The sequence below is a fragment of the Homo sapiens genome, chromosome 2 (assembly GCF_000001405.40).
Source record: "Homo sapiens chromosome 2, GRCh38.p14 Primary Assembly".
Classification (NCBI taxonomy): Eukaryota; Metazoa; Chordata; class Mammalia; order Primates; family Hominidae; genus Homo; species Homo sapiens.
Window position 1 is genome coordinate 71,030,603 of NC_000002.12, and position 18,877 is coordinate 71,049,479.

General features: G+C 45.5%; 2 pseudogenes; one reads left to right on the forward strand and one right to left on the reverse strand.

The window, feature by feature from the left end:
- OR7E46P (olfactory receptor family 7 subfamily E member 46 pseudogene) lies at positions 7,120 to 8,064 on the forward strand (annotated as a pseudogene).
- Positions 15,756 to 15,828, reverse strand: TRE-CTC15-1 (tRNA-Glu (CTC) 15-1; annotated as a pseudogene).

Genomic DNA, 18,877 nt, shown 5'->3' on the forward strand with positions numbered 1-18,877 from the left:
CCAGAGGTGCTTGCAATGACAAAGTTTTTAGAGGCATCAAGCTCTAATGAGTAAGAACAGAAGTTAATTGTAATATGATTTCTTCAAATATTATCCTGAAATGCATTGTCCATCAACACCATACAAATGTTTATTATGCTGTTGTTTCTTACCATTTAGCATTTTCTATTTTTTTCTTTTTCTTTTCTTTTTTTTTTTCTTTTCCTTTTGAGGCAGAGTTTCACTCTTGTTGCCCAGGTTGGAGTGCAATGGCACGATCTCGGCTCACTGCCACCTCTGCCTCCCGTATTCAAGTGATTCTCCTGTCTCAGCCTTCCAAGTAGCTGGGATTACAGGCATGCGCTACCGTGCCCGGCTAAGTTTTTTTTTGTTTGTTTGTTTGTTTTGTTTTGTTTTGTTTTTTGGTATTTTTAGTACAGACAGTGGTTCTCCATATTGGTCAGGCTGGTCTTGAACTCCCAACCTCAGGTGATCCTCCCACTTCCGCCTCCCAATGTTCTGGGACTACAGGCGTGAGCAACCGCGCCCAGCCACCACTTAGCATTTTCATTTTACATTTGTTGAAATTATAGATTTATACACACTTTGATTGCTGCTTTGTTATACACTTGCATATACATAAGATGGGAAATAGAAAAGAATAAAACGGGCACAGTATCCCTGAAGTTTCACATTCCGAGACATGTTAAAAACATTTGGTTTTTAGAAATTTGTTTCAATTGAGAAACTGTGGTATACACACACAATGAAGTATTATTCAGCCTAAAAAGGAATAAACGAAATCCTCTCCACTGCAGACAAAATGGATGAGATTGCAGGTCTGTATGTTAAGTGAAATAAGCTAGGCACAGAATGACAAATATTTCATATCATCACTTCTAGGTAGGAACAGAAAAGAAAATCTTGGCCAGGTGTGGTGGCTCAGGCCTGTAATCCCAGCACTGTGGGAGGCCGAGTCGCACGGATCACTTGAGGCCAGGAGTTCGAGACCCACCTGGCCAACATGGTGAAACCCCGTCTCTACTGAAAACACAAACAATTAGCTGGGCGTGGTGACGCGTGCCTGTAGTCTCAGCTACTCGGAGGGCTGAGGCCCAAGAAGCGCTTGAACTTGGGAGGTGGAGGTTGCAGTGAGCCCGGATTGTGCCTGTATACTCCAACCTGGGCAACAGAAAGAGACTCCATCACACACCTACACACAAAAGGAATCTCAGGAAGGTGGAAAGTATAAGGGTGGTTAGCAGACGCTAGGAAGAAAAGGGGTGGGATGGGAAATGAAGAGAAGTGGATAATTGGGTCCCCAAATACAGAAAGATGGAATAAGTGAGTTCTAATGTTTGATAGTACAGTATGAAAATTTTAGTTCACAAGAATTTCTTGCATATTTCCAGATGCTTTGGTAAGAAGTTTCCTAACTTTCTCATTATGCTGGTTTTCCAGCTATTCTCTTTCTGCTCTCGAAATCATGCTGGATTTTTTGTTTTTGGTTTTTTGTTTTGAGACAGAGTTTCACTCTTGTTGCCCAGGCTGGGGTGTAATGGTGCATTCTTGGCTCACCGCAACCTCTGCCTCCTGGGTTCAAGCGATTCTCCTGCCTCCATCTCCTGAGCAGCTGGGATTACAGGCATGCCCCAGCACACCCAGCTAATGTTGTATTTGTAGTAGAGACAGGGGTTTCTTCCTGTCTGTCAGGCTGGTCTTGAACTCCTGACCTCAGGTGATCCGCCCGCCTCGGCCTCCCAAAGTGCTTGGATTACAGGCGTGAGCAACCGCACCCGGCCCATGCTGCATCCTTCTCTGTTGTCTGTTGTTGTTTGTTTGTTTTTGAGCCCAGAAATAACTTCTCACCTATATGTTCAAATGATTTTTCACATGAGTGCTAAGAAAGTCCATTGGTGGAAAAGCAGCCTTTTCGAGAAATGGTGTTGGAGAAACTTGATTTCCACATGCAGAAGAATGAAGGTGGACTCTATGTCACACCAGGTGCAAAAATTAACACAAACTGGGTCAAAGACCTAACCCCAAGTGCTGAAAGTATAATATGCCTAAAAGAAAACATTGGTCACACTTTCATGACATCAGATTGGGCAATGCTTTCTGGGATATGACACCAAAAGCATAGGCAACAAAAGAAAATTAGATTCCTTGGATGACATCTAAATGACAGACACTTTTGTGCATCAGCAAACACTGTGAACTGAGTGAAAAGATAACCCATGGATTAGGAAAAATATTTGCAAATCATATCTCTGAAAAGAGGCTGATATGCATCATGTACAAAGAACAGCTAGAACTGAACAACAAGAAACCCAAAGCATCCCATTCACAATGGTCAGAAGACTCGAGTAGACGTGTCCCTAAAGAAGATATAGCGATGGCCAATAAGCATCTAAAATGATGTTCAAAATCACTAATCATAGGGAAGCGCAAATCAAACCAAGAATGTGATACCACACATTTGGATGGATATGATAAACAAACAAGCATTGGTGAAACTAGAGGGAAGTAGGAATGCTCGAATCTGATTGGAGGGAATGTAAAACCGTGATGGAACCGGGAAAATAGTATGGCGTGTACCGGAAAAAGTAGAAACAGGATTAGCGGATGTTCCCGCAGTTGCGCTTGTGGGTACCTGCCAAAAAGAATTAGAAGCCAGGAGTGGAAGAGAGATTTGTACACCCAAATTCTTGGCAGCATTATTCACAACAGCCAAAACGTGGAAGCAACCCAAGGGTTCGTGGACAGATGAATGAAAAAGCACACTGCAGTTCATTCATGCGATGGAAGACTATTCAGCCTTAAAAAGGCAGGCACTTCCGGCCGGTGCGGTGGCTCACGCCTGTAATCCCAGCATCTTGGAAGACCGAGGTGGGCGGATCACCTGAGGTCAGGAATTCAAGACCAGCCTGGCCATCTTGTAAAACCCTGTCTCTACTGAAAATGCAAAAAATTAGAAGAGCGTGGTGGCGTGTGCCTATAGTCCCAGCTACTCGGGAGGCGGAGGCACAAGAATCGCTTGAACCCGGGAGGTGGAGGTTACAGTGAGCCCAGATTGTGCCACTGCACTCCAGCCTGTGCGACAGAGTGAGACTCCATGTGAACACAAAACAAAACAAAACAAAACAAAAAAATCAAAACAAAACACTCAAACAACCAGACAGGCACTTCTGACACAGGGTGCAACACGGATGAACCTTGAAGACATTCTCGTCAGTGAAATAAATAAATCCCAAAAGGATAAACACGACCAGGCTCAGTGGCTCGCACCTGTAACCCCAGCACTTTGGGAGGCTGAGGCAGGCGGATCACTTAAGGTCAGGAGTTCGAGACCAGCCTGGCCAATACGGTGCAAGCTCGTCTCTATTAAAAATACAACAATTAGCTGGGCGTGGTGGCGCACGCCTGTCATCCCAGCTACTCGGGAGACTGAGACACAAGAATCGCTTGAACCCACGGTGTGGAGGTTGCAGTCACCTGAGACCATGCCACTGCACTCCAGCCTGGGTGACAGAGAAAGACTCTGTCTCCAAAACAAACGAACCAAAAAAATTGAACACGGTATGATTCCACTTATATCACACATCTAGAGTAGTTAAATTTATAGAGTTGCAAAATAGAATGGTGGCCCCCAGGGGTGGGCGAGAGAGAGAGGAATGGAGAGTTTGGTTAATGGGTGCAATTTCCATTTTCAAGAATAAAACTGTTCTGGAGATGATGGCGGTGATGGTTGCTAAACAATGTGAATGTACCTAATGTGATTAAACCGTAAACTGAAAAACAGTGCAAATTGTAAATGTTTATACTGGCCATTCTATATGAAATAATCTAGATTTATAATTTTTAGCATTTATATGTGGTGTATTTTCCCATAATAAAAGATGAAAATTAAAGCACTTGGATCTTGTAAAAGAAAAGAAAGAAGCGAATAATACACACAAGCTCTCTCCTGATTAGAGGAAGAGCCCCAGAGCTTCTATGGACACTCACTTTTCTCTTCTTCTTCTTGCATGATGATGAGGAAATCCTTAGAGCTTGGGGAACTTGGGCGACTCTGGCTAATGAGGAGCTCTGTGCCTTGAGCCCCCCAGGCCATAGAATAGTAAATACTCAGTCTGTGCCTCCAGCCCTGCAGTGTGAGGTTGCAGTCCTGTGGGCTCCACAACCGTCACCTGTATCAGGAGGCTCATGTCTCACCCTGTCTTCTGGCCAGCCTTGAGGACGGAGTCTGAGCCTCCAATGTGCACCACGCAGGGAGGACAGTGGACCTGTTCTCTGTGGTCATGGCCCAGCAGAGGGGAAGGGCAGTTCAGTGAGTGCTGAGGGACCGTCGGGAGCCTTGTTTGTTTCCTCATCCTCAGGACAAACAGGAGAGTGCCGTGGGCAGATGGGAGGAGACCAATGTGCAAACTGTCAGCTCAGCAGACTGTGGAGTTTCTGTTCTTGGTTGTGGTGGGGGGTCTCTCTCAGGAATCTTCTTCAAAATTTTGCCTACCTCCCCCACTGGTTGTCCTTTTCATAGACATCTCACCCACGATAGCAGGGAATGAGTCCCTCTAAACTATTCCCTCAGAACAACAAAAAGATGATGAAGCTGATGATGAGGTTAAAGAGGATGATGACAGACACCATGGCATCATGAACCCTAACTGAGGGCTTCCTGAAGGCCAGGCTCTGAGCTCTGTGCTCTATGCAGCTTGTTTCATTTCATCTGCGTAGTCTCCCAGTTATTCGTGCACATTTCATGATTATTTTACAGACTAGAAAAGGAGCAACACATTTTCATATAACTTGTACCAGATCATGAAGTCAAAAAGGGTGAAGCCCAATTTGAACCAGGCAGTCTAAGGCCAGACACATGGCATTTGGCCAGTCCTCTCCCTGCATCCAACCTGCCCTCTCAAATCCTTGTCACTCAGGCCGATGCCCCGGCTCACTGTGCCCTTCCCTTTGGGGGTTCCTTGTAGACCACAGCTAGACCAGTGGGTGCCACAATCACTGTGTCAAGTATGGAAAGGGCAGCTGAGATCACATCAAAGATTGCAGAAAGAATTGGCACAGGATCATTCGGGATGCATCTCTCCCTTGCCCCTTTCCTGGCTTTCCTTACAGCTCTCGACTTCCTCAAAGGAGTCATACATTCGGGGTTTGGCTTCCGTTCCTATTGAGGAAGCTGGAAACCATTTCAAAAATGCTCCTCAGATGTGCCCGTGATTAAGACCTCTGAGCTCTGTTGAAAACTTGTGGAAGCCAGGTGCTGTGGCTCACACCTGTAATCCCAGCACTTTGGGAGGCTGAGGCAGGCAAATCACAAGGTCAGGTGTTCGAGACCAGCCTGGCCAACATAGTGAAACCCCGTCTCTCCTAAAAAGAGAAAAATATTAGCTGGGCATAGTGGTGGGCGCCTGTCATCTCAGCTACTCGGCAGGCTGAGGCAAGAGAATAGCTTGAACCTGGGATGCGGAGGTTGCAGTGAGCCGAGATCACTCCACTGCACTCCAGCCTAGGCAACAGAACGAGACTCCGTCTCAAAAACAAAAACAAAAATAAAAACACAAACACAAACAAAAAAGAACCCACAACATTTTGAGGGTTGGGAGACCATCAAGTATAGTGCCCGGGACTTAGAGTCTGGCCATTGATTTTCAGTACCACCCTTTCTACTTATCTGTATGGCAAGGGGTGAGACGTCCATCCTCTGAGACTCAGCACTCTCATCTGAGTTGATTTCTAGTTGATCCAATGGAAGTGAGCGATGATTAAACCAATCGTGGGTGCCTGCTGCGTGATCTCTATGTGATGGATGCGTAAAGTAAAGGCAAAGTGAATTTTAGATACATTCGTTAGTATTTTAAGCTTAAACTCCATACGGTTCAACGGAAATGTCCCCTGACCTGAAGTTCTGGTTTCCCTGCATTCCGGACAGGACATTTTATTTTGTCCTTATCTCAGTAAGTACTGAGTATTGTGAGAGGAACAAGTGAGTCTCTTTTGTTTCTGATTCCCCAGAGCCTATATCTTGCTTGGCATCAAGGAGATAGCAAAGTAAACATCTATGTGAATTGTTGAATTGACACTTCCTTGGTTCACAAAAATTGGCTGTCATCGGTGTGACGTCAGTGTGACAGAGCGTGTGTTTTTGGTTTTTTGTTTTTTGAGAAGGAGTTTTGCTCTTGTTGCCCAGGCTGGAGTGCGGTGGTGTGATCTCGGCTCACTGTAGCCTCTGCCTCCCAGGTTCAAGCCATTCTCCTGCCTCAGCCTCCCGAGTAGCTGGGACTACAGGCGCGCGCCGCCATACTGGGTGAAGTTTTTGTATTTTCAGTAGAGGCGGAGTTTCACCATGTTGGCCGGGATGGTCTTGATCTCCTGACCTCGTGATCCACCCTTCTTGGCCTCCCAAAATGCTGGGATCACAGGCGTGAGCCACCGCGTCCGGCCAAACGTTCTGATGAAAACTCTAAGTCCACCGAAGCTAAGGACAGGAGTTACAGCTTACATGAATTTTAAAACAAGACCCACCGATTTGAGTAAGAAATTACTCTCTTGAAGGAGAAAAGTCAGAAAACATATTGATGACATCACTAGGACCTAACTGGCCTGTGGAACTATTTTCTGCTTATGAACTATCAACTTTAATTTCATTTCCAGATGGCATGGTCTCAGCAGTTATACAGTGTTTACAGATGTTCTAAATCAAGGGAATTTCTATCAATCTCTTCGAATAAAATAAAATATTTGAGTTCTTAATTTCCTTTCACTAGGATAACCTTTTTCTTACAGTGAAGAGAATGGTTTTATTACATAGTTTCCTTCGGTAAAGATAGGCTGTCTTTTCTAGCAATTATGAATTTGTTATATATGATGATCTGGTTCTTGGAACATTCTTGAATCTAGTGTCTCTGAGGCAGGTGTGTACAGCAAGAAGTGAATAACACAGAAATCAATGATGAAAGCATTAGAAGACAATTGAGTTTGTCAGAACTGCAAAGTATTGCTGAATGTGGCTTGCTCTGAAATCTGAAAACATTACTTGCGAATTGTTTCTATCCAAAATGCAGACATGATTCTGGGTGTTGGTTTACTTGTTTCCGATTTCTCAATCCTCTTTTCTAGGCAAAAGGTGTCCAATCTCTACAGACCCACAGAATCTAACAGATGTCTCTATATTCCTCCTCCGAGAACCTCAGAGGATCCAGAATGGCAGCTGGTCCTTGCTGGGTTGTTCCTGTCCATGTGCCTGGTAACGGTGCTGGGGAACCTGCTCATCATCCTGGCCGTCAGCCCTGACTCCCACCTCCACACCCCCATGTACTTCTTCCTCTCCAACCTGTCCTTGCCTGACATCGGTTTCACCTCCACCACGGTAGCCAAGATGATTGTGGACATCCAATCTCACAGCAGAGTCATCTCCTATGCAGGCTGCCTGACTCAGATGTCTCCCTTTGCCATTTTTGGAGGCATGGAAGAGAGACACGCTCCTGAGTGTGATGGCCTCTGACCGCTTTGTAGCCATCTGTCACCCTCTATATCATTCAGCCATCATGAACCCGTGTTTCTGTGGCTTTCTAGTTTTGTTGTCTTTTTTTTTTTTCTGTCTTTTAGATGCCCAGCTGCACAACTTGATTGCCTTACAAATGACCTGCTTCAAGGATGTGGAAATTCCTAATTTCTTCTGTGACCCTTCTCAACTCCCCCATCTTGCATGTTGTGACACCTTCACCAATAACATAATCATGTATTTCCCTGCTGCCATATTTGGTTTTCTTCCCATCTCGGGTTCCCTTTTCTCTTACTATAAAATTGTTTCCTCCATTCTGAGGGTTTCATCATCAGGTGGGAAGTATTAGGCCTTCTCCTCCTGTGGGTCTCACCTGTCAGTTGTTTGCTGATTTTATGGAACAGGCGTTGGAGGGTACCTCAGTTGAGATGTGTCATCTTCCCCGAGGAAGGTTGCAGTGGCCTCAGTGATGTACATGGTGGTCACCCCCATGCTGAACCCCTTTGTCTACAGCCTGAGAAACAGGGATATTAAAAGTGTCCTGCGGTGGCCGCACGGCAGCACGGTCTAATCTCAATATCTTCTTATCTGTTCCATTCCTTTTGTAGTGTAGGTTAAAAAGGCAGCAAGGTCAAATAAGAATGATATCACAGGGTGAACACCCACTGTGATATTAGGAGTAATACCTCCCTAGGATATAGAATATTCTGTCACAGAGTATAGACACATGGGGTACACCCACCGTGATATTAGAAGCAATATCTCCCTAAAGTAGGAGGAAAAATATCACAGGGTGTGCACACTGTGTGATATGAGGAGTAATATTTACCCTGGATATTACAACTAATATCAAGGGTGTACACACACGGGGTACACGCACTGTGATATCAGGAGTTGTATGTCCCTAGGATATTACGAATACTATCACAGGGTATACACTATGTGTGTACATCCACTGTGATATTTGAAGTAATATCTCTCTATGAGATTATAAATAACATCAAAGCGTGTACACCCCTGTGACATATTGGAGTAACATCCTTCTAGGGTATTACAGATAACGTCACAACGTGTACACCTTCTGGGACGTTTTGTACACTCTTTGTGACATTAAAAGAAACATCCCCCTAGGATATTATGAATAATAACACAGGAGGGGTACACACATGGTGTACACCGCCTGTGTCATCAGGTGTAACATTCCCCTAGGATATTACGAATAATATCACAGCAGGTGTACACACATAGTGTACACCCCATGCGACATTCGGAAGAGCATGCCCCTAGGATATTAGGAATAGTATCACAGGCGTTGAATACGCATTTTTAATGTGTAACGTCACCCCCGGTGACATTAAAAATAACATCCCCCTTGGATATTATGAATAATATGACAGGGAGTACACCCCACGTGACATTAGGAGTAACATCCCCCGAGGATATAATGAATAATATCAGAGGGTGTACATGCATTGTGACCTTAGTAGTAACATCTCTTTAGGATATTACAAATAATATCACAGGGTGTACAGGCATTGTGACATTAGTAGTAACATCCCGCTGGGATATGATGAGTCATATCACAGGGTGTACACCCCCGTGACAATAGTAGCAACATTCCCCTAGAATATTACGAATAATATCACAGGAGGTACAGCCCCTGTGATTTACGAGTAACATGTCTATAGAATATTACAACTCATATCACTGTGTGACTCTGGGTACACCCCGTGTGACTTTAGGAGTAACATCCCACAAAACTATGACGAAAAATATCACAGGGTGAACACCCCCTGTGACCTGAGGAATAACATAGTTTTAGGATATTATCAATGATGTGACAAGGTGTACACCCCCTGTGACGTTAGGAGCAATATCCGTCTAGGATGTTAGGAAGAGTATCACACGGAACACACCCCCTGTGACATTAGGATATGACAAATAATATCACAAGGTGTACACGCATCGTGACATTAGTGCTAATATCCCTCTGGTACACTATGAATAATATCACAGGGTGTACATCCCTGTGACATTAGGAGTAACATCCCCCTAGAATAGTAAGAATAATAACACGGAGTGTACACCCCCTGTGACATGAGGAGTATCATCTCGCTAGAATATTATGAATAATGTCACAGGGTGTTATCGTCTGTGCCAATAGGAGTATAGACCCCTGGGAAATTATGAATACTATCACAGGGTGTACAGCCCTGTGACATTAGGAGTAGCATCTTTCTAGAATATCACGAATAATATCACAATGTGTACACCCACTGTGTCATTAAAAGTAACATTGCCCTAGGATATGATGAAATAGAACACAGGGAGTAGACCACTTGTGACATTACAAGTAACATCCCCCGAGGATATAACCAATAAGATCGGAGAATGTACCTGCATTGGGACATCAGGAGTAACATCTCTTCAGGACAATACGAATAATATCAAAGGGTGTACACGCATTGTGAAATTAGTAGTGAACTCCCGCTAGGATTTTAGGAATTTTATGACAGGGTTTACAGGCCCTGTGACATTAGCAGTAACGTTTTCCTAGAAGATTACGAAGAATAGTAAAGGGTGGACAGGACCTGTGAATTACGAGTAACATTTCCATAGCATATCGGACGTAACATCACTGTGTGCACACGCCGTGTGACATTAGGGGTAACATCCCACAAAATTATAGCGAATAATTTCACAAGGTGTGCAACCTCTGTGACATTAAAAGTAACATTTCCCTAGAATATGACGACAATATCACAGAGTGTACACCCTCTGTGATATAAGGAGTGACATCTTATGACGTTAATACGACTAATTTGACAAGGCGTACAAACCCTGTGACATAAGGAGTGACATCCCTCTAGGACATTATGAATACTATCAAAAGGAACATACCCCATGTGACAATAAAAGCAACCTCTCCTTAGGAGAATAAGAATAACACCACAAGGTGTACACACAATGTGACATTATTACTAAGGTAAAGGTAGGATATTGGGAATAACATCACAGTATACAGAGTCCTGTGACATCAGGTTTACAATTCCCCTACAAAATTACGAATAATATTGAAGGCTGTATACCCCCCGCGACTTTAGCAGCCGCATCTTGCTAGAATATGGAAGATAATGTCCCAGGGTGCGAACCGAGGGTGGCAGTATAGAAAGGATCCTAGGAAAAATCAGGAAGTAAGAGCCAGCCCCTCTTCCCCACCCTGGCTCTTAGGACCCCCATTGCAGGGGGGTGAGGCACCACCCGCGATGCGGGGAGTAAGAAAGAGCCAGCCCCTCTTCCCCCCCGGCTCTTAGGACCCCCATCGCAAGGCGGGTGAGGCACCCACCACGATGCGGGGAGTAAGAGCCACCCCCTCTTCTCCCCCTGGTTTTTAGGATCAGCGGTGGACTCACAGCCTGTTTACCATATTGTGAGTAATATCATCTCCCCCTCTGGAGACTATGAACTGTTTCACAGACGGGTGTACACCCTCGGTGTATGGAGGGTGTTCACCCGTCTGTTTTGGGAGTAATATCATCCTCTTCCCCCCTGAATATTAAGAACAGTATCACAGGGGTGTTTCTACTCCCTGCGATGTCGCGTGTCATATCCTCGTCTCCCACGTTGCAATTAGAAACAATATCAGTGGGGGCGTGTCCACCTTCTGTCGTTTTGAAGGTAATATCATCGTCTTGCCTCCAGGATCATGGGAACAATATCCCTGAGGGGTGTCCACTTTCTGCCATATATGTCGTCATATCACCCCCTCCGCCTTGGAATATTATTAAGGACCATCTCACATGGAGGTGTACACTTCCTGCGATATTGGGAGTAATATCAACCTCTGGGCCTCTGAATATTAGGAAGAATATCACAGGGTGGGTGTACACCTCCTGCTCTATTATGGGGAGCCATATCTATCTATTATGGGGAGTAATATATCCTCTCCCTTTCAGGATATTAATAACAATTTCACAGGCTGGGTGAACACACCCTGCGATGCTGCAATTATTGTCATCCTCTCCCCCTCGGGTTACTAGGAACAATATCACAGAAGAGGTGTACACTCCCTGCGATATTGGGAGTAATATCATACGCTTCTTCCGTGAATATTAGGAACAATATCACCGGGTGGCTGTACAATCATTGCTATGTTGGCAGTCATGTAATACTCTACCCGCTGGGTATTAGGATCGGTGTCACAGGGTGAGTGTACACCTACTGTGATATGAAAACTAATATCATGCTCTCCATCCCTGGATATTAGGAACAATATCACAGGTAGTTGTACACCCCCTGCGGCATTAGCAGTAATAATATTATGAATTATTAAACATCAGTCTTGTTAATAATTAGCCATGGTAGTATTAATTAATAGTATAACGTTATTAATCATTAATGATTATTTTCAAGATAGGATTATGCATGATTAACGTTAATTATTAATATTAATGTCACTTTTATTATTAGTTATTAATCTTAATATTAATTATTACTTTATTACCAACATCACTTATGATTGATTGAAGTAACTTTAATTACTGATATCATTATTGTATTATTAATAGTGATATTGCTATTAATTATTAATAGTAACCCTTAATATTTTTAATCCCGATGTTTTATTGTCTCTACTGTAATTATTAATATCGATGATTACTATTAATTGTTATTATATTTATTAATATTAATAATTGAGATAACTGTTCCCGATATCCGTGGGGGAGAGGATATTACTCCCAATATCGCAGAAAGTGGACACCCCTCTATGATGTTACTCCTAATAGCCAGAGGGTAGAAGATGACATTATTGAAAATATCGCAGTGTCGCAGTGGGTGTACATCCCTTCGGTCATCTTGTTCCTAATATCCTGGGTGGGAGCGGATGATATGACTCCCAATATCGCAGGGGGCGGAGACCTCCCCCGTGATACTGTCCCTAACATCCAAAGGTGGAGAGGATGATATTTCTTCCAATTTCGCCGGGGGTGCACACCACCCTTGTGATATTGATCCTAATATCCAGGCGGCGAGAGGATGAATTAGTCTGAATATTGCAGGAGGTGTACACTCCCTAGGGAGATTGTTCCTAATATCCAGGGACGGAGAGGATGATATCACTCCCAATATAGCAGGGGGTGTACAACCCTTCTGTGACATTGCTCCTAAAGGGCAGTGGGGAAGAGGAAGATATTACAGCCAATATCGCAGGCGGTGTATACCCCCTTGTGACATTCTTCCTTATATCCTGGGAGGGAGAGGAAGATACTAGCGGCAATGTCGCAGGGGCTGTACACACCCACTGTGATATTGTTCGGAATATCCCGAGGGGGAGAAAATGATGTTACCTCCAATATCGCAGGGGGTGTACATCCTCCTGTGATATTGTTTCTTATATTCAGGGGGAGAGGATGATATTACTCCCAATATCTCAGGGGTTGTACACACCTCCTGCGATACGGGGAGTAAGAGCCAGCCCCTCTCTGCCCCTGGCTCTTAGGAGCCCCATCGCAGGGGGGTGAGGCCCCCCCGCCGTACGGGGAGTAAGAGCCAGCCCCTATCCCCCCCTGGCTCTTGGGATCCCCATCGCAAGGGGGTGAGGCCCCTGCGATGCGGGGAGTCATATCACCCCCCTCTCCCCCCCGGATATGACGATCCACATCCCAGGGGGGCGGGCGCCGCCCGCGCTGCGGGGAGTCATATCACCCCCCTCTCCCCCCCGATATGACGATCCACATGGCAGGGGGCGGGCGCCCCCCGTGATGCGGGGAGTAATATCATCCCCCCCTTTCCCCCTGGTTATTACGATCCACGGTGGTCACACAGCCTGTTTACGTTATTGTGAGGAATATCTTCTCCGCCTCTGGAAATTACCAACCATATCACACATGGGTGTACATCATCTGCACTATTGGCATTAATAGCATCCTCTTCCCCCTTGTTATGAACAACAATATCACAGGAGTGTCTCTACCCCCAGTGCCATTGGGTGTATTATCATCCTCTCCCACGTTGAAATTAGGAACAATATCACTGGGGGCGTGTCCACCCCATGCGATATTGAAAGTAGTGTCATCCTTTTCTCTCCTGGGTGATGGAAAACATGTCACTGGTGTGGTGTCCAGTTTCTGCGGTATTGGGAGTCATATCATTCTCTCCGCCTTGGAACCTTAAGGACAATATCACTGGGGGGGCTGTACACACCCTGCGCTATTAAGAAGAATATTATCCTCGCCCGCCCTGCATATTAGGAAAAATATCACAGAGTGGGTGTCCACCTCCTGCGATATGGGAGGTAATATCATCTTCCCTTCTTCTGGATAGTACGAACAATATCACACAGGTTTGTACACTTTCTGTGATATTGGGAATAATATCAACCTCTCCGCCTTTGAATAGGAAGAACAATATCACAGAATGGATGTACACCCCCTGCGATATTGGGAGTGATATCAGCCTCTCCTCTCCACGGATATTGGGAATAATATCCCAGCGTGGGTGTACACCTCCTGCTGTAGTGGGAGTCATATTGTCCTCTCCCTTCCTGGCTATTAGGAACAGTATCACAGGGTGGGTGTCCACAGCATGCGATATTGGGAGTCATATCACCCTCTCCCCCTCCGGATATTAGGAACAATATCACAGAAGGGGTGTACACTTCCTGCGATACTGGGAGTAATAGCATTCTCTTCTTCCGTGAATATTAGGAGCAATATCACCGGGTGGATGTACACTCACTGCTATATTGGGAGTAACGTCATACTCCACCGCCTGGATATTATATTCGGATCAATATCACCGGGTGGGTGTACACCTACTGCGATATTGAAAGTAATATCGTGCTGTCTCCCTTCCGTGGACATTAGGAACAATATCACAGGTGGGTGTACACCCACTGTGGTATTAGGAGTAGTATTGGTATTAATTATTACTCCTTGATTATTAACATCAATATGAATTACCAATATTAATATTAATAAATAATTGCTAACAAAAAGTGTTCAGATTATTAATATTAATATTAATTATTAGGAGCTAATATTACTGTTTCTAATGAATAACATCAGTATCAGTTATTAATTGGTGTTATTAATAATATTAATAATTTATTGTTATTCTTAGTATAACTATTTAATAGTAATTATCATTATTATCGGTATTGATTTTTTAAATCATATTATCAGTTATTAATATTGATTATTATTATCAATTAATAATTGATATTATTAATTGTGATAAGTAATATTGCGACATTCCTCACAATATCGCAGAAAATGTACACCGCTCTGTGATGTTGTTCCTAATAGCCAGGGGTAGACAATGACATTACTCCAAATATCGCACTGGGTGTACATCCCTTCTGTGCTCTTGTTCCTAATATCCAGCTGGGGTATACACCACCTGCAATATTGGAAGTAATCGTATTTTCTGCCCCCCTCCCCCGGATATTAGAAACAATATCGCAGGGGGTGTGAAGAACCCCTGCGATATTTGGAGTAATATCGTCTCCCTTCATGAGTATTAAGAAGAATATCAAGGGGGGGTCGAGGGAACACACCCTTTGATATTTCATATCATCCTCTTCACCGGTGGATATTAGGAAAAATATGAGGAAGGGATGTACAGACCCTGAGACATTTGCTGTCCTATAACTGTCTCTCCCCTAGTAATTAGGAATAATGTAATGGGGGATGTGAACACCCCTGCGATATTGGGAGAAATATCATCCTCTCCCACCTTGGATATTAGGAACAATATCACAGGGTTGTGTACACCTCCTGCGTTATTGGGAGTAATATCATCCTCCCTCCCTCTGGATAGTAGGAAGAGTTTCACAGGGGTGTGTACACCCCCTGCGATAGTAGAAGTAATATCATCCTGTCGCCCTGAGGAGGGAAGCCACTTTTCTGACTGTCTCCTGTCTCTGAAAAGGAGAAGGAAGTAAAAGTTGAAAAAGAACAGGATGAAGTCAGTGTCAAGAGCAGTTGTTGCCACTGATGAGCTGGCCCGAGGTGAAAAGATGAACCCCCCCCCGCCCAACTCTAAGCACATGTGCTCTCAATCCATCACGATCCTTTCACGTGGAACCCCTTAGAGTTGTAAGCCCTGAAAAGGGCCAGGGAGTCTGTCTTCCTTCGGGGAGCTCGGCTCTTAAGACGCGAGTCTGCAGACGCTCCCGGTCGAAAAAGAATTCTCTTCCTTTTTAAATCCGGTGTCTGAGAGGTTTTGTCTTTGGCTCATCCAGAACGTTTACTTGGTTCACTCTGACCACGAGTCGAACCCAGGCCGCGGTGGATGAGAGCGCCGAATCCTAACCACTAGACCGCCAGGGGAACTTGGAACTCTGTGAGAGATAGATTGCCCAACTTTAATAGTGGGTTGGCCATCAGAAGGAAGCCTGGACAGGTCCCTTGTTTCTAAGGTGTGGCAAAAGGTGACTGGTAAAGGATACCTAGACCAGTTCCCATACATAGACACTTGGTGACAGCTGGTGCTAGACCCCCCACAGTGGCTAAGAGGCCAGGCAGCAGCAGTACTAGGAGCAAAGGGACAGATAGCTAAGGAAGGATCCGGCTCCACCCACCCAGGGAAATCAACTCCTGAAGTTCTATTCGACCCAACATCAGAAGATCCATTACAGGAGATGGCACCAGTGATCCCAGTGCTGCCTTCCCCTTACCAGGGAAAGAGGCTCCCCACTCTTGAGCCCACAGTGCTTGTGCCTCCCCAAGACAAGCATATCCCTAGGCCACCCAGAGCAGATAAGAGAGGAGGTGGAGACTCGGGAGAAACCCCTCCCTTGGCAGCTGGTTTATGACCCGAAACTGGGATACAAATGCCCCTGAGAGAGCAGCGGTATACTGGGATAGATGAGGATGGTCACTTGGTGGAGAGGCGTGTTTTTGTGTAGCAGCCCTTCACCTCTGACCACCTTCTCAACTGGAAAAACAATACCTTGTGCAATACCGAAAAGCCACAAGCTCTAATTGATTTGCTCCAAACTATTATCCAGACCCACAACCCCACCTGGGCTGATTGGCACCAGTTGCTCATGTTCCTCTTTAACAGAGATGAAAGGCGGAGAGTCCTCCAAGCAGCAACTAAGTGGCTAGAGGAACATGCACCAGCTGATTATCAAAAACCCCCCTAAGGACCCAGTTACCAGGAACCGAACCCCAGTGGGACCCAAATGAAAGAGAGGCTATGCAAAGGCTAAACCGCTAAACTGAGACAGGGAAGCTCTCTTGGAAGGATTAAAGAGGGGAGCACAGAAGGCCACAAACGTTAACAAGGTCTCTGAGGTCATTCAGGGAAAAGAAGAAAGTCCAGCACAATTCTACGAGACACCGTGTGAGGCCTATTGTATGTATACTCCCTTTGATCCTGATAGTCTTGAAAATCAGCGCATGATTCACATGGCTTTAGTCAGTCAAAGCGCAGAAGACATTGGAAGAAAACTGCAGAAACAGGCTGGGTTTGCAGGGATGAATACATCACAATTATTAGAAATAGCCAACCAGGTGTTTGTAAACAGGGCTGCAGTAAGCCTTGAGGAAAACCGCAAAGAGAATGGACATCAGGCCCGGCGAAACACCGACCTGGTTGTCAGCTGCAGCAATCAGAGGGGTCCTCCGAAGGAGGCAAGGGAAGGGGGGGCCCTGGGAATGAAACTCAGCTTGGCTGTCAGAGTTTGCAGTGTAACCAGTGTGCTTCTTGTAAAGAAATAGGACACTGGAAGAACAAATGCCCTCAGCTCAAAAGAAAACAAGGTGACTCAGAGCAGGAGGCCCCGGACAAGGAGGAAGGGGCCCTGCTCAACCTGGCAGAAGGGTTATTGGACTGAGGGAGACCAGGCTCAAGTGTCCCCAAAGAGCCTATGGTCAGAATGACAGTCGGGGGTAGAGACATTGATTTTCTTGTAGGTAGCGGTGCTGAACATTCGCTAGTAACCGCCCTGGTCGGCCCCTTATCCAAAAAGACTATTGATATCATCGGAGCCATGGGGGTTTCAGCAAAGCAAGCTTTCTGCTGGCCTCAGACTTGTACTGTAGGAGGACATAAAGTGATTCATCAGTTTTTGTACATGCCTGACTGTCCCTTGCCCTTGTTGGGAAGGGACTTGCTCAGCAAGCTGAGAGCAACTGTCTTTGCTGCTAAAATTCCCCAGAACGGGAGTCATTATGACCCTTACCATCCCCGGAGAGGAGGAATGGAGACTTTTTTTTAACTGAGCCGGGCGGAGAGATAAGATCACCTCTGGCTAAGTGGTGGCGAAGAGTACGGGCAGAAGACAACCCTCCAGGGTTGGCAGTCAACCAAGCCCCCATACTCATACAAGTTAAGCCTGGGGCCCAGCTGGTTAGGCAAAACCAGGACCCGGTCCCCAGAGAAGCTCTTCAAGGTATCGAGGGCCATCTCAAGCACCTAAGAACTTTGGGAATTACAATTCCTTGTCAGTCTCCTTGCTGGAGCGTGTTGCTCCCATACGTTCATGACCTTTTGCTGGGACACCCCATGGCAGTCGGGTGCGCCAAGGGAACGGATGCCCTACTCTGGCACCTGGAGGACTGTGGGTATAAGGTGTCCAAGAAAAAAGCTCAGATCTGCTGATAGCAGGTACCTTACTTGGGATTTAGTATCCGACAGGGGGAACGCGGCCTGGAATCAGAAAGAAAGCAGGTCATTTGCAATCTACCAGAGCCTAAGAGCAGAAGGCAGGTGAGAGAATTCTTACGAGCTGTGGGGTTTCATAGACTGTGGATCCCAAACTTTGCAGTATTAGCCAAGCCTTTGTATGACCTCACAAAGTTTGGGGGTGGGGGGACAGGGAAACTTTTGAATGCGGATCCCAACAACAGCAAGCCTTTCATGAGTTAAAGGAAAAACTTATGTCAGCCCCAGCCCTGGGGCTACCCGATCTGACAAAGCCTTTTACATTGTATGTGTCAGAAAGAGAAAAGATGGCAGTTGGAGTTTTAAGCCAAACTGTGGGGCCCTGGCCGAGGCCGGTGGCCTACCTCTCTAAACAACTAGATGGAGTTTCTAAAGGATGGCCCCCCTGTTTGAGGGCCTTGGCAGCAACTGCCCTGCTAGTCCAAGAAGCAAATAAGCTGACTTTTGGGCAAAACCTGAACATAAAGGCCCCCCATGTTGGGGTGACTTTAATGAACACTAAAGGACATCATTGGCTAATGAATGCTAGACTCATCAAGTACCAAAGTGTGCTCTGTGAAAATCCCCGTATAACCACTGAAGTTTGTAACACCCTAAACCCTGCCACCTTGCTCCCGGTATCAGAGCGGCCTGTCAAGCGTGATTGTGTAGAAGTGTTGGATTCAGTTGACTCTAGCAGACCTGACCTTCGGGACCAGCCTTGGGCAT